At 39.5% G+C, this 21,430-nt stretch overlaps 1 protein-coding gene across 30 annotated transcripts in view; it reads left to right on the top strand.

Annotated features, from left to right (window-relative positions):
- KANSL1 (KAT8 regulatory NSL complex subunit 1) overlaps positions 1-21,430 on the top strand; it is a 195,452-nt gene that overhangs the window by 152,123 nt on the left and 21,899 nt on the right. For all 30 annotated transcript variants that reach the window (NM_001405885.1, NM_001405884.1, NM_001405883.1 and 27 more), the window contains 2 exons: positions 5,578-5,696; positions 6,513-6,708. In NM_001405885.1, coding sequence (NP_001392814.1) covers positions 5,578-5,696; positions 6,513-6,708 — 315 coding nt within the window. The remainder of the gene's footprint in view (positions 1-5,577; positions 5,697-6,512; positions 6,709-21,430) is intronic.

Raw genomic sequence — 21,430 nt, 5'->3', positions numbered from 1 at the left:
AATGCTTTCTCAGAAGAAAGGCATGCTAAAAATGTAAGCTATTGCTGTTTCTTTTTACACAGTCCAAGATACATCTTCATTCCATTGGTGTAAGTAGGAATACTCTTCCTTTCTTTGAAGTTTTGCAGTCTCTAGGGACAGTGAGTAGTTCATTGGCCTGACAAGGGTTTTGGGATAGAAGGTAAAGGGACAGATATTGGCCAAGAAATATTTGACCCACAGTGTTAGAAAACACTGACAAGTTAGGTCTTTTATAATAAATTGGGCTATGGATAAATAAGTTGAACAATAAGAATTTAAGATGCATTTTTGCATTTGCTATATTTCTTTAAATTCTAGATAGTTATTTTCAAGTGTTGGTAAACATAAATCTTAGGCTTAGGAACCATTGGATTAGTAACAGCATTATGCTAATCAAAACTTTAAAAAAATGAGTTCAAAATTGTTATAATGTAATTTTATAGATTTTCTTTTATCCTCAACCTGCAGAAGCCGGAAAGTGAGGCACATAGCCCCACATAGGCAGAAATTAAAGCCTAGGCAATAACTTAGTGAAAATGGAATTTTCAGAACATTCCACTTCTTGTTTAGTACAATTTTATGGCCATGGTGCTAGCTAATGGAAATGGCTAGTATACTATTTATAGGCCAGCAATATTTTGGTGAATTTAAGCGAAACTATGCTCAGTATCATTGAAATGGGGGTGGGGTGGGCTTGAGACATGAAATCAATCATACAAAGTCAAAAACTATTTTAACCCAGGAATAAGTTAAATTCCTGTCACCCAGTTAGCATTTTCTTTCCATTTTAATGTTTGTCAGAAAGGGAATAACTAACCAAAACTGAACTGTTGACTTTTCTAGCCAAACGAATGTGATACATTTAAAAAATGACATTGCAAGCAGGTGTGACATGGCATTAATTGAATAAAGTAAAAATACATATTTGCAGGTAGAGTTTAATTTTATTGTGTGCTTTTAAGTGTGTGGCTCTCTGTTTTTACCCCTTAACCCTCTCTACTTTTTGGTGAAACAAATCTAGTAGACATTGGTTCTTAGACCCTAGAAAAAACGACCCCCGTAAAAACTATTTAGTTTTAGCTTTTCATTCAAGGCCTCTTTGTCACGCTTACTTGATCTGGCCCAGAGTGGAGTAATGAATGAGATGCCTGCTTTATGTGAATAACAAATTTGAATCTCATTGCTATGTTAGTAATTTTATGCTGTACACCTGGCCCTTTCAATCGGGGCGGGGGGAGGGGTGGGGGGAGCAATTCAGCAACCCTCCTTGCTACCTTTAACTGTAAGATTACTCCAAAAGATAATCCCCTAGGGCCCTGCTTTGGAGAGGAGGGGATTACAGAGGCACTCTGTCTACCACTTTAGCTTTTCTACTCTTTCTTTCTGGCTGTGGGATGCATAAACCCTGAGTTCATCTCAACATCAAATAAAATTCAAATGGAAGCTTCAGTGATAATCCTTATTTTCTAGGTAGGAGAGTCTTAAGTTCTTTCATCCTTTTTGCAGTTGCCTATTGGATAGCAGATATCTCAGTCATGCTTTAGTTTTCTAAAAACACTAATGATGTAAACCACTGCAGTAGTAATAAGCTGAAATTAGTATGCGGATTTAATATTTCTTAAGTGTTTGTTAATGTTTATCCTCTGCATTTGCAGCCTTTTAGACTGCAGGATAGGAAATGTTCATTTTTTCTCAAGGGAGAGTGCCTGCATTTAAGGAGCTAGGTGAAATTACATGTGTTTGTGTGTTATGTTTTTCTTTTTCCAAATGGAACACTGTGATTGGGATTAATATTTTAAGCTCTTTGCATTGATGATGGGTTGCAGGACATGTCCAAATGCCTGCTGTTGGATACTAGCTTGATTACAGAATTTCCCAAGATCTTAAGTAGATCCTTCCTGAGTATCCAGTGCTTTCTTTTTTGTGGCTGGGAATGCAGGCCAGCCACAGTCCCTTTCTGATGTTTATGCTCTTGACCTCTGTATACCTCTATGTTCTTGACAACATTTCCATGTTAATAATGTGTTGCCTGTTGACTTCAATTTTGATTTGGGGGCTGAATTACTCCAGGAAGATTCAGGTTTCTATAAGAAAATCAATAACATTCATGTTAAAGCTGAATAGCATTTAAATATATACACCTGCAGACATGAGAAACAAGACAGGCTGTTATAGCAGTAGTAGTTAGCTATATGGATCGTGACATTACTGGTGATTTTACTTGACATATTCTTCTTTAGACTTTGTATAAGAAAGATAAATGTTTTGAAATGAGACTTTGTTAGAGAATGGCAACATTTTATCTTGACAAGTGTTCTTGCAGTTAAATCTCATAATCCCTACCAGAAAAACTTAATCAAATGGAGAGTCAGTCAACCCGTTACTTAAACGTAGTACCTTCTAGAACACGTGAAGGCACTACCATATAAATTATATATACCATATATAAATCAAATATACCATATAAATTATATATACCATATATAAATCAAATCACTGCCATAATTTAATGCCGAAATAAAAACAAACAGCATTTTTAAACAGCATTTTTCTATTGAAAGGAAACTTTTTCATCTAAACCAGAACTTCTGAAATCTAGAATACCTATAACATGCCTGAAGTTATACATCTGTTAGTTAATACCAACCTGAATCTTAAATTCTTTTGATTTTTCTTGTTCTTTGTCATACCATATTTGTTTAGCCTTTTTGAGGTTTCCCCTGTGTAGTAAATCCTTACTAGCATTCAGGAGGGTATTTGGTTTTATGGGGGTTTCTTTTTAATATAAAACTATTACCTAAAATGTAAAGAAAATTTCAGAATAGTTTTACAACTGTAACACTCTTTGTCTTGTTGTTATCTGTGTATGTATATTTTTAGTCACTACAACTATATTAAACTATTATTTTTTTCTCTTGAAATCTCTTCTTCCATAAGAGAAGAAATATCCTTTATGATTCTTTTTAATATTTTGATTTGGTGTACCACAACTGATAACTATAGTTATAATGCTTACAACATTTAGATTATTGATAGATATCATTGCAGTGACCACCTTTGTGAATAAGATTTTTGGGGCTGTGTTTGTTGAGTTACTCCTTTAGGGTAGATTTTTAAAAATTGGTTAGAATATTTTGTCAGAAGATAGGAATATCCTTATAGCTCTTGCTGCTTAATACCGTGTTGCTTTCCAAGGGAAATCTGCATAGAGCTTAAGGCAATGTGTCTATGCCAGATTTACTGTAATTTTTGATAGCATTGACAATTGTTCAAGATGTTTGTGATATCTTAGTAGATGTACAGGATATCCAACAAAAAAGACAGCCTTTTCTCGGTGTTCACTCATTGTAGCATACTTATATGACTTGTCTGTGTATATAGTTTGATCTGTATTTTAGGATAATTTGTATTAAAACTTTTAGATTATCTTCCCAATCTGTTTTTTGTTTTTGTTTGTTTTTTGTTTTGTTTTGTTTTGGAGACAGTCTCTCTCTCTCTCTTTCCCAGGCTGCAGTGCAGTGGCGTGATTTGGCTCACTGCAACCTCCACTTCCTGGGTTCAAGTGATTCTTGTGCCTCAGCCTCCCGGAGGAGCTGGGATTACAGACAGGCGCCACCATGCCCAACTAATTTTGTATTTTTAGTAGAAATGGGATTTTACCATGTTGGCTAGGTTGGTCTCGAACTCCTGACCTCAGGTGATCTGCCTGCTTCAGCCTCCCAAAGTGCTGGGATTACAGGCATGAGCCACCACACCCAGCCTCAGTCTGTTCTTTTTGATGCTTGTCTAGGACTACTTTCAGGTTCAGTCCTTTGGTGTTTTATCCTTGGGGGTATAAAGACAAAAGAAATCAGTATTGAAAAGTAGAATTTCAGCCTCAAAATATTTACCTTGAAAGCATTTGTAGGAAGCATTTATAGGAATATTTACCTTGAAAGCTTTTATAGGAAAGAGAACTTCAGCGTGCCCCAGAGTCAGTTCAAGTGTAAGGAGACAGGTTAGGTGTGGTGGCTCACACGCCTATAATCCCAGCATTTTGGGAGGCCGAGGAGGGCAGATCAGTTGAGGTCAGAAGTTCAAGAACAGCCTGGCCAACATGGTGAAACCCCATCTCTACTAAAAATACAAAAATTACATGAGCATGGTAGTGTGTGCCTGTAATCCCAGCTACTCAGGAGGCCAAAGCAGGAGAATCGCTTGAACCAGGGAGGTGGAGGCTACGGTGAGCTGCTATCATGCCACTGCACTCCAGCTTGGGCGGGATAGCGAGACTTCATCTCAAAAAAATAAAGTAAGGAGTCAAAGACCCATAGCCTTTCTGGGATAGTTCAACAATTGCTAGAACTGAGGGATAGCTGCATCTGTTGCTTTATTGCCTATACCTCAGAGGTGCTATATGACTGGCATTCATACTGTTCCTATCCGTTTTGAGCCTAGTAAATATATAATTTGTTTTGAATACTGCAAATCACACTTTTTCTATTCTTTCTCATCTGTTATTTCATTTTATATTCTAAACATATTTGATTTGAATACTCTAAAGACAATAGTTAGTATCTGATAGCATCAGATAATTAGATTCATTGAGATTTTATTAACTTTGTTTTCTGTCAGGGAAAAATGTGTGTGTGTGTTTATTTATTTATTTATTCATTGAGACAGGGTCTCACTCTGTCACCCAGGCTGGAGTGCAGTGGCATGATCATGGCTCACTGCAGCCTCTGCCTCCTGGCTCAGGTGATCCTCCTCCCACCTCAGCCTCCTGAGTAGCTGGGACTACATGCACGCACCACCATGCCCGGCTAATTTTGTATTTTTTTGTTGTAGAGATGGGGTTTTGTCATGTTGCCCAGGCTGGTCTTGAACCCCTGGGCTCAAGAGATCCTCCTACCTTTGCCTCTCAAAATACTGGGGTTACAGTCATGAGCCACCATCCCCGGCCTGTGTGTATATTTTTAAACAAAGCATAGTTTTTAGAAAACAAGCTTCTAGCATACTCTGTTAGAGTTAAGCAGATATTAACTACATTTAAATTTCCTCTTAGTCATCTTGATACTGATGTTAGTATATCCTTCTTGATCATTAGTTGAAAGCTTATGTTACTGTGTAATTGTTTTGCTAAGCTTCTGTTCCATAGAATTATTGAGGTCATTTTCCTGTCAATAGGTACTTACTTTTAGTCTGTACATTTGGATTCCTCATCCCTCTTCCCCCCAAAGCAAAAGCTAATATAATATTCTCCTTCTCTCTGTCAACCTCTCTCTCTCTCTTTTTAATTAGAGATGAGGTCTCGCTGTGTTGCCCAGGCTGGTCTCAAAACTCCTGGTCTCAAGCGATCCTCCTGCCTTGGCCTCCCAAAGTGCTGCAATTATAGTTGCGAGCCATCATACCTGACCACTGATTCTCTTATTTTCTTTTTCTTCAGTCATTCAAGTTGTGTTTTTCAAATTGATCATCAGAAGTTTTAGGTGCTTTGTGCAAATGAAGTGGTGGTGCTTTTCAGGCAGGGGTGCGCTTGGGTACATGTTAATTTCTTTTTTCCTTTTTCTTAATCAGATTGAGTCTGTTTCTCAGCCATTGGAAAACCATGGTGCCCCTATTATTGGTCATATTTCAGAGTCACTGTCTACCAAATCATGTGGAGCACTCAGACCTGTCAATGGAGTTATTAACACGTAAGTTTTAGCTCTTCTACTTCCTACACTTAGTAGACTTGTAAAGGTGTTTTGGAGCTCTTAGTTCTCTTTAGCCAGGACTGACCCTGGTTTAAAGAAGCGGAAGCCTTATCACTTAGTAACATTTTTAATCTTCACTGTATAATGAAGCAGTGCATTTTAATTAATTGTATATTTTCCTTTTACCTACTAAAATGGAGTGGGCATGGAGTAAAATAAAAGACACTACAGTTACTGTGAATTATTATTGTTTTAATCTTGCAGGAATTCCTCAGAAGTGCTTATATTAACCTCCTCTGCTTAGGACAGATTAGATCTCCAAGGGCTATGTTTGTAAATCTGTATTTATGAAGATTCAAGGGAGAAAACAAAAGATTCAGGGAGATTCTGTACAAGTGAATGATGTGTACAACACCCTTAAAATTCGGGTTTCATAGAACTGATTCTAAGGAAGCCCATTAACATTTGCAAAATTCATCATTTTCTAACCAACTGTAGTTCTCTAGACTTTATTTACTCGTGTGTTTGATGTAGAGGAGAACTCAATCACTAGAACTTGAGTTTATTTATTGACTTTTATCTTTCAGACATGATGTAGTTAATGTGCACCAAGAACCTTACACATAAGCACACACAGGTAGATTAACAGACATCAAGAGGAGACCTGCTTCTGCTCTAGAATGCTTCTTTGTGTCTGAACATTAGCAAATAGAGGTTGAACTAGTATAAGAGGCTTTGTTTCTTTGTGTTTTCTTGTTGTTTATTTATTTTGTTTCTTTGTGTGTTCTGAGAATACTCTTCCTTCCCCTTGTATAGTCTTCAGCCTGTCTTGGCAGACCACATTCCAGGTGACAGCTCTGATGCTGAGGAACAATTACATAAGAAGCAACGACTGAATCTCGTCTCTTCATCATCTGATGGCACCTGTGTGGCAGCCCGGACACGTCCTGTACTGAGCTGTAAGAAGCGGAGGCTTGTTCGACCCAACAGCATCGTTCCTCTTTCCAAGAAGGTCGGTACAGATGAGAGTTGGTCATTGTCAAGCAGTGAGCCAGATGCTCAGATAGAGTTAGTCTCTTGCCAACTTTGGTGTTTTCTAAACTTGGCTAACCACCAAGGTCTTCTGGGGAGCTTTATAAAATACTAGGTTCCTGGGCCCTGTTTGCTCTGGAGTTGGATGTTGGAATCTTGTTTTCAGAAAACACAAAGCTCCTCGGTGACTCTGCAGCTAGTTTTGAAAACCACTGTCTTGAGCTTTTTAATAGAAATGGGAGAGACTGAAAGTTTAAGTACTGCCCTTAACACTTTGAAGGAGAATAGTGTGCCCTCTCACCTTCACTGTTATCACTGAAAATGGCAGTATAGAATCCTTTGCCCTAAAAAAGAATCTTGGCCATGTGCAGTGGCTCATGCCTGTAATCCCAACACTTCGGGAGGCCAAGGCGGGAGGATTGCTTGAGCCTAGGAATTGAATACCAGCCTGGAAAATATAGTGAGACCTTCATCTCTACAAAGTATTTAAAAATTAAGCATGGTGGTGCACACCTGTAGTCCCAGCTATTCAGGAGGCCGAGGCAGGATTGCTTGAACCCATAAGGTTGAGGCTGCTTTGAGCTGTATTTGTGCCACTGTACTTAAGCTTGGGTGACAGAGTGAGACCCTGCCTGAGAAAAAAAGGAATCTTCACTAAAGTTTTTAAATTGATATTACTAAAAAAAAGTTTGTCTTCACAAAGGAAATGGAGATTAATTCACAACTGTAGGGAATTTTAGATTGCTGACTCTTCAAATAGCAGTTGCCTTTATTCCAAAACTAATGAGATAATAATATTCCAGTAAAATTGGTACTGTGCAGGAATTAAGAGCATTATCTTTGAAGATGATAACCTTGGGTTTGAATCATGGTACTACCACTTAGTAGTTTGGTAATTTGGTGCATGTTAACCACCCTGACTTCCACTCCTCTCCAAAGCCTCAGAGATCTCATAGGGTTGTTTGAGGGTTCAATGAAATATATGTAACATGCTTATTGGGATGTCTGGTTGATAAGTTCCTCGTACAAAGTGGCTGTTATTGTTACCACTTTTGTTGTTGTTCATTCATTCTTTCAACAAATATTTATTGGCTTCCTGCAACGAGCTAAATCTGTCTAGTCACTGGGTATACAACACTAAACAAAACAGACAAAAGTGCTTACCCTATGAAATATTCTAGTTGTTAAGAGAAAGAAAATAATAAATGAACTCTGCAGTGTGTCCTATAGCATTAAATCTTGGAGAGAGGCTAGGCACAGTGGCTCATACCTGTAATCCTGGCACTTTGGGAGGCTGAGGAAGGAGGATCACTTGCGTTCAGGAGTTTGAGACCAGTCTGGGCAACATAGTGAGACCCCATATCTTTAAAAAAAAAAAAAGCCTGCTGTGGGCGAGCGTGTGTAGTCCATTTGCTCAGGAGGCTGAGGCGGGAGGATCATTTGAGCCCACCAGGTTGACACTGCAGTGAACCATGGTTGTGCCACTGCACTCCAGCCTGGATGACAGAGTGATTGAGACTCTGTCTTTTAAAAAAACAAAAAAACAAACAAAAAAAACACACGTATACATATGTAACTAACCTGCACGTTGTGCACATGTACCCTAAAACTTAAAGTATAATAATAATAAAAAATTAATTAATTAAAAAAAATCCTGGAGAGAGAAATGCAATAGAGGAGGGAATAGAGAGTGCTGGAGAGCTCAGATAAAGAAGAGGTATATGGATTAGCCCTTTGATGTATTCCAGAGCTTAGGTATTCCTCCTCATTCCTGTGAAAGATGAGGAAAGGATTGGGAAGGGAGTGACGAATAAAGTAGAAGAAAAACCAAGAGAGTGTGGTATGTGAAAGGCAAGGGGAGAAAGTGTTTTGGAGAGGGAGGAGGAGGAGGGATTGTCTGTGTCAGTTGTTACAGACAGGATCAGTAAGATGAAGGCTGAGAATTGAGACCATTGAATTTAGTGGGGTGGGGTTGTTGCAGACATTGGTGAGCAGTTTTGGTAGAGGGAGAAAGGTGAATTAAAGCATGGTTGGAGTGGTTTCAGGAGACAAGGCCACAGAAGGAATTGAGGGAACCATTGTAGATAACATTTTCAAAGAATGTTGCTGTAAAAGAGAGCAGAGAATGGGAATTTTTCTTAAGAGAGCCACTAGCAACATATTTGCTAATGACAAATAAGGGAGATGAGAGAATTGCTGGAACAATTAGTATTTGCATGGTGAATTTTCAGTACTTTCCTTGTTTTATTCTAGTATGCAGTTGTACTGTGTAAGTTTGCCATGTTCTCTTTAAAGAAAAGAATTGTAGAATTGACTGTCAGGCGATACCATTTCTTCCTGTCTATTCCTCGGACTCTACCTGAAATATCAAAATAGCAGAAATAGATAAGAATAAGGTATTTGGCAGGGTTTTCATATTGACATTTCAGTCTCAGTTTTTTTTTGTTTTTTTTTTTTTTTTTTACTAATAGTCGTATATCTCTAAAAGATTTTCAGAGGAGTTGATAACAGGAATGTCAGAAAACAGTATATTACTGTCAAGTGTAGGAAAATAGCTTTTTGTCAATTCCTTGATGAATTTAACACAGAATGCTTTTACATTTTAAAAAAAAAAAAAAAACCGCCACCTCATGAAAATAAAGCACCCTTCCTCTGTTTTGGCAGTTTACCAGCCACTATGGCATGACATCAGGAGTCGTATAAAAATTTTCTGAAGTATGTGGTGGCCTCCTGGATTTTGTTTTTTAATATGTGAAGTAGCCAACCTTCTTCTGATCCATGCCTAAGAACGAATGTAGTTTTGAATGTACATATAAAATTATAAAAGGTAGCTTAGGCAAGAGATAGGCATAAAACTAAATATCCTTTTGTTCCAATGCCACTTTCTAAAACAGAATCATCCTGACACAAAAGTAAGCTGCATGAAAAATAAGACAGAGAAATTAGTTGACTTTGGGAAATATACCATGTACTAGATCTAGCAGAAAGCTGGAGTTCTTCCAGAGTTAGAGACACACCCCATTCCTTCTGTCTAGGTTGCTTTCTGTGTCTCACATGGCTCCTCACTCATGACATGACCTCAGTGGTATTTGCTGATGAGCAAGCATCTTGTCTTCTGTCATCTTGAATTGCTCGGTTTTCCAGACAGATTTATTCAACAGCATTTTTGAATGCCCACCGTATTATTCAGGGCAGCCAGGTTGCATTGGTAAGGAAAACAAAGCCCTTATCTTCATGGAGCTTACTTTCTAATGACAGCAAAGAAGTTAACAGGTAAATTATGTTCTAATATTGTTACATGACAGTGAGTTCACAGTTATTGTGAGTACAGAGTACAGAACACACAAAGCAAGTGATTAATATTTTTTCCTTACCTGCATCTTAAATGATCTCTACTGCATTCCAGAACCAAATAAAACATACTTGAGGGAACTCATTGAGGTTTTGTTTTGTTTTGTTTTTTCTTTGAGATGGAGTCTTGCTCTGTTGCTCAGGCTGGAGTGCAATGGTGCGATCTCGGCTCACTGCAACCTCCTCCTCCCGGGTTCAAGCGATTCTCCTGCCTCATTCTCCCGAGTAGCTGGGGTTACAGGCATACGCCACCACGCCCAGCTATTTTTTGTATTTTTAGTAGAGATGAGGTTTCACCGTGTTGGCCAGACTGGTCTCGAACTCCTGACCTCAAGTGATCCACCCGCCTCGGCCTCCCAAAGTGCTGGGATTACAGGCGTGAGCCACCACACCCAGCCCAATTACTGTGTTTTTAAAGGGCTATCAGCTTAGTTGAATTATGGCTGGAATATATCTTAAAATTGAGATGCACGTTTAGTGCAGTAACTCTTTTGCCCTTAAAAAGGCTGGCCAGGCACAGTGGCTCATGCCTGTAATCCCAGCACTTTGGGAGGCCAAGGTGGGGCAGATCATGAGGTCAGGAGATCAAGACCACCCTGGCCAACATGATGAAACCCCATCTCTACTAAAAATACAAAAATTAGCTGGGCGTGGTGGCACGTGCCTGTAATCCCAGCTACTCGAGAGGCTGGGGCAGGAGAATCGCTTGAACCAAGAAGTCAGAGGTTGCAGTGAGCTGAGATCTCGCCACAGCACTCCAGCCTGGTGAGAGAGTGAGAGTCCATCTAAAAAAAAAAAAAAAAAAAAAAAGCTGTTGTTATATCACTTGTACTTCTTAAAATCAATGACTAAAACAAAGTGTTCAGTAAGTTAAACTCGTTGGGAATAAAGAGAAATGAGATCTATCAGTAAATAAATAGGAAGCCTTGAATGCCCAAACTGATGATTTGGGTTTCAGTCTATAAGTTTTAAATTTTTGAGCAGAGAAGTGTTGTAAGCTATTTTGGGGGAGGTAAATCTGCTGTAACATGTTTTTTTTTTTTTTTTGTTTGTTTGTTTTTTTTTTTTTTTTTTGAGTCGGAGTCTTGATCTGTCACCCAGGCTGGAGTGCAATGGCACAATCTCAGCTCACTGCAGCCTCCGCCTCCCGGGTTCAAGCAATTTTCCTGCCTCAGCCTCCTGAGTAGCTGGGATCACAGGCACCCACGACGACGCCTGGCTAATATTTGTATTTTTAGTAGAGACAAGGTTTCACCATGTTGGCCAGGCTGGTCTCGAACTCCTGACTTCAGCTGATCCATCCGCCTTGGCCTCCCAAAGTGCTGGGATTACAGGCGTGAGCCACCGCGCCCGGCCAATCTGTAACTATTATGTTTGGGATGGATTGGCACAAGAGACTGGAGGTGGAAAGACAGACTAACAGTAGTAATCCTGGAGGAGATAATAGTCTAAGGCCTCTACAACTCTGAATGTGGAATATTTTAAATGTAATCTAAGGAATAACCACTAGGGTGTGGTAAGTGAATATCAGAGTAAGGCTCATGGAGAACATGGAGTACTTCCTAAATCATAATTTTATTATAAAATGACGGAATTACTAGTTGTAATTACTGAATAGCCTATATTGCTATTTATTGTGTGTTTCATCACTTTAGGGGTCTAGTATGGTGGATGTTAGTAATTATCTAAGTGAATGAAGAAGCACTCCAGTGGAAAGTTCTTATATGCCATTATGTTCTTTTCCTGGCCCAGTGCCTAAGTGAAGTAGGTGTTTATAACTTAACCTAAACGTACTAAGATTTCAGATCAATAAAGTTATTAAAATAAAATTGGTACCAGCCAATTTTCAAATAAGGTTGCTTTTTATTTTTTAAGTAAAATTATGTTTATAATTAAACCATAAGACAAATAGTATTTTTTTAAAAAAGAAAAGAATGTAGTTTTATTAATAATTTACTGCATTGTTCTCATTCTCAATTTACTGTGGACCATTAGAAACTTGTGTATAGTCTGGCAGTGGAAACCATCAGTGTTTGGAAATGAATGGTTGAAAAGGCTGGGTTTTTTTGTACTAATAACCAGTAGAATAGGTAATGGCTACATTTATTACTAACATACCCTTGAAATTTTTATTGCCCTTAATAGCATTTCTTTCAATTTTTTAAAAAGTAGCAATTTCCTAACAAATTGGCAGTGTACTGGCATCATTTTAGAATTTTGTAGTCCTTGTTGTCATAGGGGGGATTGCTCTGGGCCAAATTTTAAAGCTGGCTTCCATAGAATTCCGAGTAGTCCTCCTCTTCTTCCCATTGTATCACACTTGAAGAGTGACATTTTTGTACAGGGCATTCTCTCATGGCTATGACCAGGTTTCCTGTAGACATCAGGGTAAATAAAGGTGTTAATATATGATTCTAGGCCTCCTAGTTTTGATTCCACCTATTTAAATCCAGTTTCATGACACCATGGTTGAGGACTAATGAACTAGAATATGAGTCAGTATTAAAAGTTAATAATTTGATACGTTCTTCCTTGACAGAGTGCAATAGACCTTGGAGGCCCAACCAACTTTTTCATACTAGTTAGACATTTGGAAAGGAGCAAGCATGCCATGTAGAAAATTGTACCTTAGGACATAAAGCTACTAAAAGAATACTCAGAAATCACTCTGTGCTTGGAACAGTTACCTCTAAACTGTTATGACGGTGTTTTATATATACATTATAAAACACATACAAAATAAATTTTGAAAGACTGAGATAAAATAGAAGCTTACACGTTTTGTTTCTTCACTCTGATGGATCTTCAAGAGCCAGTTGTGGGATATGCTTGATTGTGATAGAGTTGCCAAACCTTTGAAAATCTTTCCACATGTTAACAGTGGATGAGTTAGATAACGAATATCAAATGCAAAGCAAAAGCAAATGATTATAACCTGTCCTTGAGCCAAAAGAATTCTTTTAGTGTTTTGGACGAATATGCTATGATTAACAGAAAATGGTGAATAGAGTTTTACTTTGGTATTAATTCCTTCATAAGTATTAAATTGAGTATTTCTTGGGAATTCCTTCAAAGAGAATTGATAGCATTGCAGTATTAATTAAGGGAACGTGGGAATTTCTTCGTGTATCAAGTATTTTATCTCATTATTTTATTGAGATGCAGGTCTCACTGTGTTGCACAGGCTGATTTTTTGTTGTTGTTGTTTGTTTTTTGTCCCCCTCCCCTCCCCCAAGATGGAGTCTCGCTCTGTCGCCAGGCTGGAGTGCAGTGGTGCAATCTCTTCATCTCAAAAATAAAAAAGCCAGCTGTGGTGGCAGCTACACAGGTGGCTGAGGCAGGTGAATGGTTTGAAGCTGGGAGGCAGAGGTTGCAGTGAGTCAAGATCAAGCTACTGCACTCCAGTCTGGGCAGCAGAGCTAGACTCTGTCTCAAAAAGATAACAGTCTGTTTCTCTCTCTTAGTTCCAGCTGAGAACATGTGTTGATCAGTTTCCTTTTCTCTCTCTCTCTCTCTCTTTTTTTTTTTTTTTTTTTTGGAGTCAGAGCCTCGCCTCGCTCTGTCACCCAGGCTGAAGTGCAATGGCATGATCTTGGCTCACTGCAACGTCTGCCTCCCGGGTTCATATGATTCTCCTTCCTGCCTCAGCCTTCCAAGTAGCTGGGACTACAGGCGCGTGCTACCATGCCCAGCTAATTTTTGTATTTTTAGTAGAGACGGGGTTTCACCATGTTGGCCAAGCTGGTTTCGAACTCCTGACCTTAGGTGGTCTGCCCGCCTCAGCCTCCCAAAGTGCTGGGATTACAGGTGTGAGCCACTGTGCCCAGCCTCCTTTCCTCTTAGCATATCCTGAGATCTAATTCTAGTCTCCTCACGAGACTGCCAGAAACATCTCTGCCCTTTTCAGAGACTTTCCACTTAGCTTTGTAGCCTCCTACCATTCACAACTTCAGCTTTTTCTTTGGGAGGGTGGTACTTGGAAGTGTGTCATGCTTAGTTCCCTGTCCTCTTTTTATTGATAATTTGACATTTCAAGTCTCTAGTGTTATCCATTCAGCCCTACAAGAGTACCAAAAGCTCTGCTCTTTTTTTTTTCTTTCTTTCTTTTTTTTTTTTTCCGAGATGGAGTCTCGCTCTGTTGCCCAGGCTGGAGTGCAGTGGCACATCCTTGGCTCACTGAAACCTCCATCTCCCAGGTTCAAGCGATTCTCCTGCCTCAGCAAGTAGCTGAGATTACAGACACGTGCCACCATGCCTAGCTAATTTTTGTGTTTTTAGTAGAGATGGGTTTTCGCCATGTTGGCCAGGTTCTTTTCCTCTCTGGAATCTTAGCTTTCAATATTGTCATTATGTCAGCATTTTTCTTATGTTTTGAGAGAGAGAGAGAGAGAGAGAGAGAGAGAGAGAGAGAGAGAGAGAGAGTGTGTGTGTGTGTGTGTGTGTGTGTGTGTGTGTTTTAAATCTGGCTTTTCCAATTAGTGAGAGTGTTGGTTTGATACAAGCTATCCATATAGGTGATTTATTTGTTGAGAAAACTTCATTTATCTGATACCTTAGTTTCCCACAGCCTACTTTCTTTTAAAAATTTTATCCCTATAGTAGTATTTTCTTGCCTCTTGGCATATCTAACAATGTTTTATTTATGTTTTAAGCTGAAAATCCAATTAATAATTTTCCCTGCTTGTAGCATGTGGATTGTGCCATCTTCCTTTAAAGAGGCTTTGTTTTGCTGGCAGGTAAATTCCTTGTCATTTGTTAGGTCAGGTGAGGAGTTGGCCACCTTAGTAGTCTAGCTCCACAACTAAAGCAGGATCTTCTGTCTTGAATTCTCTATGCAACTTTGGCTGGTCACAGTTTAAAAGCCTCTCAGGCTTGTGTTAGCTGTGGAAACCATTTCAGCTCACAGCTGCCTAGTTGCTCTTGCCTGGCCTGATAGTTTCACCCTTTACATGCACCTTTTAATATTTAGCAAACACTCAGGGGGATCTTATGAAGATTTCTGGGGCTCTTTTTCTGTAAAGCTTCCTCCTCTCAAGAATTTTGCCTTGCAATTTTCAGTTTCCTTAGTCTCTGAATTCTGATCTAGTGAGAATTTGCTTCCTCAACTCAGTGAAGCTATTATACTCTGCTTCAGATCCTCTCCCTGCCCTGCAGTCTAGAATGTACTTCCAGACGGAAAACCAGGGCAGTCTTAGAGACCACCCCATTTATTTCTCAGTGTTATACTGCCTGTTGTCCAGTTTTCTGGTTTATGACTGAAAGGTAAATCTGATCACTATTACTCTGCTAGAAGCAGAAGTCCTGTGGTGTCACTGTTTTCTTTTCCAAATTTTGTTATGAAATTATTCAGATACGAAGTTGAATGAATTTTACAGTGAACACCTATGTAGCTACTCCCTAGGTTCTACCACTAACATTTTAGCATACAATCATCCTTCCATTTATTAATCCATCTTATTTTTAGTGCATTTAAAAAACAGTGATGTTTTTCTGTCCCTTGTTTTTCTTGAAAACTAGTAGAAACGTGAATAAGTCCAGTTTTAGTTTCGTGAGAAAACACAAGGTGGCCGCCTTATGCTTGTATCAGAAGACACGTAATGACTAAACTGTTTGTTATCAACCACTGGTGATCATTGCCTGGACCCATTGTTAAATTGGAAGCTGAAGAATGGTGATATTCTACTTGTATCATTTCTGTTTTTCTTTTATTAGCTAGATAGAATATGTTTATAAAGGGAAAATTGTCCTTTTCAACTATTTGTTTACCCTGAGGTACAGTTTGTACAGAAGAAAGCATGATTTGTTGTTTTTTTTTATTTACCAATTTTCAAAATAACAAATTAGTTTTCTACTATCCTCTAAGGACAGTCACTGAAGTTTTTCATGAAGGGGCTGTGAGTCATTGATTGAAACATATTTGAGGTATTTCAAGCCATTGTAGTCTTTTCTTTATGATGCTAACGTTATCTGATCTTTGGTAGGGGAAGCTCTCTTCAGGCTTGTTCTTGACAATAGTCTTTGAGAGCTTTGTTCTTACTATTAATTTTTATTTTTTTTGTTTTCCTTTTTTACTGAGTCTTATGTTTACTGTGACTCACCACTAATATTTAATGGGAGCCTGTGCTTTGAATTTTTCTAGACGGGATGACCGTAATTTGAACCTCATGGTTCTCAGTGATTTTGTCCTCACAGGAGACATTTGGCAATATCTGTAGTAATTACTCATTTTCACAAATTGGGGGAGTAGGGAGGCACATGCACCATGAGGACAGAGATGCTGCTAGATATCTACAGTGCACAGGACTGTGCCCCACAACAAAGAAGTGCCAGCTGTTGAGAAATCATGCGGTATACTAATTTAGCTAACATTTGTGTAATGTTTTAACAGTTACAGAGTCATTTGATCTTTCCTACACTCCCATGAAATTGGTATTATTAGTCCTTTTTAACAAGTGAGAAAATTTAAGGATGTCATGTGACTTATCAATGATCATATTATACAGTGTTAAGAAGCTAGAATTTTGAAATCAAGATCTTTGATGGTAAATGTTCTATCAAGTTTGATGGTAAATGTTCTATCAGTAGCTATACTTACGGTTTTACAAAAGTGATTAAGAGTCGAGAGCCAGATACTGTTGTGAGTTATTTATCTTTAAAACAACTCTATCAGGTACTCTCCTGTTAGTAAAGATGAAGACACAGTAACTTGTCTTAAGGCCACACAGCTAGTAAGTGGCGGAGTCAAGGTTCAAACCCAGGCAGTCTGGCTCCACAGCTCATACTGTTAACCACTATATATTGCTTCACAATTTTTTTTTTTTTAGATTTGAGTATAATATTTGTTTTTATATTTAAATCTTTATTTGGGGCCAGGCACGGTGGCTCACACTTGTTATTCTAGCACTTTGGGAGGCCAAGGTGGGTGGATTACCTGAGGTCAGGAGTTTGAGACCAACCTTGCCAGCATGGCGAAACCCCCGTCTCTACTAAAAATACAGAAATTAGCCAGGCTTGGTGGTGGGTGCCTGTAATCCCACCTACTTGGGAGGCTAAGGCAGGAGAATCACTTGAACCCGGAGATGGAGGTTGCAGTGAGCCGAGATCGCACCATTGCACTCTAGCCTGGGCAACAGAGCGAGACTCTGTATCAAAAAAATAAAATAAAATGAAAATGAATAAATCTTTATTTAGAATTAATTTTGGTGTGAGGCAGAAATGCAGCCGTTTTCTTCTGTATGACCTCTTGGTTTTCCTGATTCATTTGTTGAAAAAGTAATACCTCCTTTTGTTTTTTTAAACTGATTTAAAAGTATTATTTTAGTTAAACAATAAACTGTCATATATACTTTGGTCAATTTTTGTTTTTATTTAAATTTTCTGTTTCTTAACCGAGGGCAGATTATTTTAATTACTGTAACTATAAAACATGTAATAGGCCAGATCACTCCCCTGTATTTTTGCTTATCAGAAATTTTGGGGAATGGTTCCTTACATTCTTTCAGTTGTATCTTTTAGATTATTTGTTTAAATCCCCTTTGCCTTGTCTCCCCTCCCCCCTCAAGTCTATTAAGATTCTGCATTAATTTGTAGAATATCAATATCTTTAAGCTTTGTGCTTAAATTTCTTGTTAAACTTATTCCAGGGCATTTTTTGTTGTTACAGTCAAGAATATAATCTTTTTTCACTTTTTTTTTTTTTTGAGAGGGAGTTTTGCTCTTGTCGCCCAGGCTGGAGTGCAGTGGTGCGATCTCAGCTCACTGTAACGTCTGCCTCCTGGGTTCAAGCGATTCTTCTGCCTCAGCCTCCCGAGTAGCTGGGATTACAGGCGCCCGCCACCATGCCCGGCTAATTTTTTGTATTTTTAGTAGAGACGAGGTTTCACCATGTTGGTCAGGCTGGTCTTGAACTCCTAACCTCAGGTGATCCACCTGCCTTGGCTTCCCAAAGTGCTGGGAATACAGGCGTGAGCCACCGCGCCTGGCCTTTCACTTGTATTTCTAAATAAAACTTACTTTGGGCCGGACACGGTGGCTCACGTCTGTAATCCCAGCACTTTGGGAAGCTGAGGCAGGCGGATCACGAGGTCAGGAGATCGAGACCATCCTGGCTAACACCGTGAAACCCTGTCTCTACAAAAAATACAAACATTAGTCAGGTGTTGTGGCGGGCGCCTATAGTCCCAGCTACTCGGGAGGCTGAGATAGGAGAATGGCATGAAGCTAGGAGGCGGAGCTTGCAGTGAGCTGAGATCCCACCACTGCACTCCAGCCTGGGCGACAGCGAGACTCCATCTCAAAAAAAAAAAAAAAGTTACTTTGAATACTGACATTTAAAGAAAAAGACACGATGTGAGAGAATGACCATGGAATTAGTGGTTGAAGAGCCAAGTGCAGAGGCCTGTGATCTGGAAGGTTGCCTGCTATCTTGGAGAAATATAGCAAGGAAATCAGAGTAACTGGTAGTGTCAGCTAGGAGAGTAACAAAAAAATGAGGTGAAGTCAGAGAGAGGGGATAGAGGCGACAAATACTATAGGACCTTGTGGGAACCATGCAAGAAGTTTGGTTTCTATTCCTCGTGAGATGAGAAGTCATTTGGAAGATTATGAGGTTGGTATGATGTGATTGAGATTTTAAAACAAGATTTACACTGATTACTGTGTTGATTGATTTGGAAGTAAGAACCAGTAGGAGGAGGATCAGTTAGGAGGCTTGAAGAAACCCATTTGAGAAAAGATAGTGACTTGGACTAGATTGAGTGTAGTTGAGGTGGTATGAAGTGGTTGGATTCTGCCAATAGGATTTCATGACTGGGACCGGTCGCGATGGCTCACGCCTGTAATCCCAGCACTTTGGGAAGCTGATACGGGTGGATCATCTGAGGTCAGGAGTTTGAGACCAGCCTGGCCAACGTGGTGAAACCCCGTCTCTACTAAAAATATAAAAGATTAGCTGGGCGTGGTGGTGCATGCCTGCAATCCCAGCTACTTGGTAGGCTAAGGCAGAAGAATCTCTTGAGCCCAGGAGATCCTTGTTTTTTTTTTCTTTTAAGAGACTGACTCACTCTGTCTCCCAGGCCTGGAGTGCAGTGGACATGATCACTATAGCTCCTCACTCCTGGGCTCAAGTGAGCCACCTCAGCCTCCCAAATAGCTAGGGCTACACATGCACACCATCTGTTGTGATATTTTTAAAAATTTGTTTTCTTATTGTAAAACACAATATTGTATGTGTTCTTGTTGTTTTTTAACTTAAATGAATTCATGCAGATGATTTGGCATCTTGTTTCAGTGGAAGAGCGTGTGCGTGTGTACACTTAAGTTTGTCTGCAGGATAGATTCTTGGTGTGGATTTGTGCAACATGGGTATGAATTCAAGTTTTCTTTCAAAAATTTTCCAAAATGTATCCTTTAATAAGTATTAAATATATCTTTGGCCGGGTGCGGTGGCTCATGCCTATAATCCCAGCATTTGGGAGGCCGAGGCGGGCAGATCACGAGGTCAGGAGATCAAGACCATCCTGGCTAACAATGGTGAAACCCTGTCTCTACTAAAAAAATACAAAAATATTAGCTGGGTGTGGTGGTGGGCGCCTGTAGTCCCAGCTACTTGAGAGGCTGAGGCAGGAGAATGGTGTGAACCTGGAAGGCAGACTTGCGCCACTGCACTCCAGCCTGGGTGACAGAGCAAGACTCTTGTCTCAAAAAAAAAATAAGTATTAAATATATTTTTATATACTCCTCGGGTTCTATTAGTACTTTACAGTTTTTAATTTAAAAGTGAGATTACTGTTTAAGTTACATGTGTGCACATTACCCTTTTGTCAAGTTATAAGTAGAATTTCTACCCTTTATTTTATTTTTTTAAATTTTTAAATTTTTTTGGAGACGGAGTTTTGCTCTTGTTCCCCAGGCTGGAGTGCAGTGGTGCAATCTCAGCTCACTGCAACCTCTGCCTCCCAGGTTCAAGTGATTCTCTTACCAGCCTCTCCAGTAGCTGGGATTACAGGTGCCCACCACCATGCCCAGTTTTTTGTATTTTTAGTAGAGACGGGGTTTCACCATGTTGGCCAGGCTGGTCTCGAACTCCTGACCTCAGGTTATCCACCCACCTTGGCCTCCCAAAGTACTGGGATTACAGGCGTGAGCCACCATGCGCAGCCTTTTTTTTTTTTTTTTTTTTTTTTTTTTTTTTTTTTTTTTTGGAGACAGGATCTTACTCTTTTTCCCAGGCTGCAGTGCAGTGGTGCAATCATGGCTCACTATAACCTGAACTCCTGGGCTTAAGCGATTCTTCTCCCTCAGCCTCCTGAGTAGCTGGGACTAAAGGCATGCAATACCATGCTGGGCTAAATTTTTTTTTTTTTTTTTTTTAATTTTAAATTTTATTTTAAGAGATGGAGTCTTACTGTGTTGCCCAGGCTAGTCTCAGACTCCTGGCTTCAAGCAATCCTCTCTCCCACCTCAAAGTTTTGGGATTACAGTTGTGAGCCACCACGCCTAGCCACATCTATTGAATTTTTTTATTGTTGTTGTTTTGTTTTTTTGTTTGTTTGCTTGTCTTTGGACTTAGTCTCATTCTGTCGCCCAGGCTGGAGTGCAGTGGTGTGATCTCAGCTCACTGCAACCTCTGCCTCCCAGATTCAAGCGATTCTCCTGCCTCAGCCTCCCGAGTAGCTGAGATTACAGGCTCCCACCACCACACCCAGCTGACGTTTCTATTTTCAGTAGAGTCGGGGTTTCACCATGTTGGCCAGGCTAGTCTCAAACTCCTGACCTCAAGTGATCCACCCGCCTTGGCCTCCCAATATTGACTTTGACTTAAGTGATACACTCTAGCCATAAAATGTAGTGTTGTTAAATGTCCCATATGGAGAGCTAGTTGATGTCATGGGTTGGTTTCTAGTCTCTCTCTTTTTATTTTTTATTTGCTATACCTACTGGAGTGAGATAATCTCTTTTGAATATTGAAAGTTTCAGTGTAATTTTTGGATCCTAACCAATTTTCCTAAATCCTCCCACTCACCCACTGTGTGATCTCATTTTCATCTCTACCTACTCATTTCTCTTTACCTCAAAATGTCATCCTCTCCAGAAAGCCAGCTCTGATTACATAGATACAGGGATTTTTTTTTTCCCAAAACAATACCAGTTAATATTGTCTACACAAAAGTAGCATGCCTAGTTGGTATCACTCCCTTTCAGTGGCTTCTAGTTCTGTGTGATTTGCCCAGTCTAACCTTTAAAAGACTTTATTTGCGTGCCACCTCTCTATGTGGTTACAATAGAATGTCGGGGGAATGTTGATAAAGACCACATTGTTCTTATGTATATCTTTCTCTTACACAAATCCA

Source organism: Homo sapiens, chromosome 17 (assembly GCF_000001405.40).
Source record: "Homo sapiens chromosome 17, GRCh38.p14 Primary Assembly".
Taxonomy (NCBI): Eukaryota; Metazoa; Chordata; class Mammalia; order Primates; family Hominidae; genus Homo; species Homo sapiens.
The sequence above is the reverse complement of the archived record's forward strand: the minus strand, read 5'-3'. Positions and strand labels throughout refer to the sequence as shown.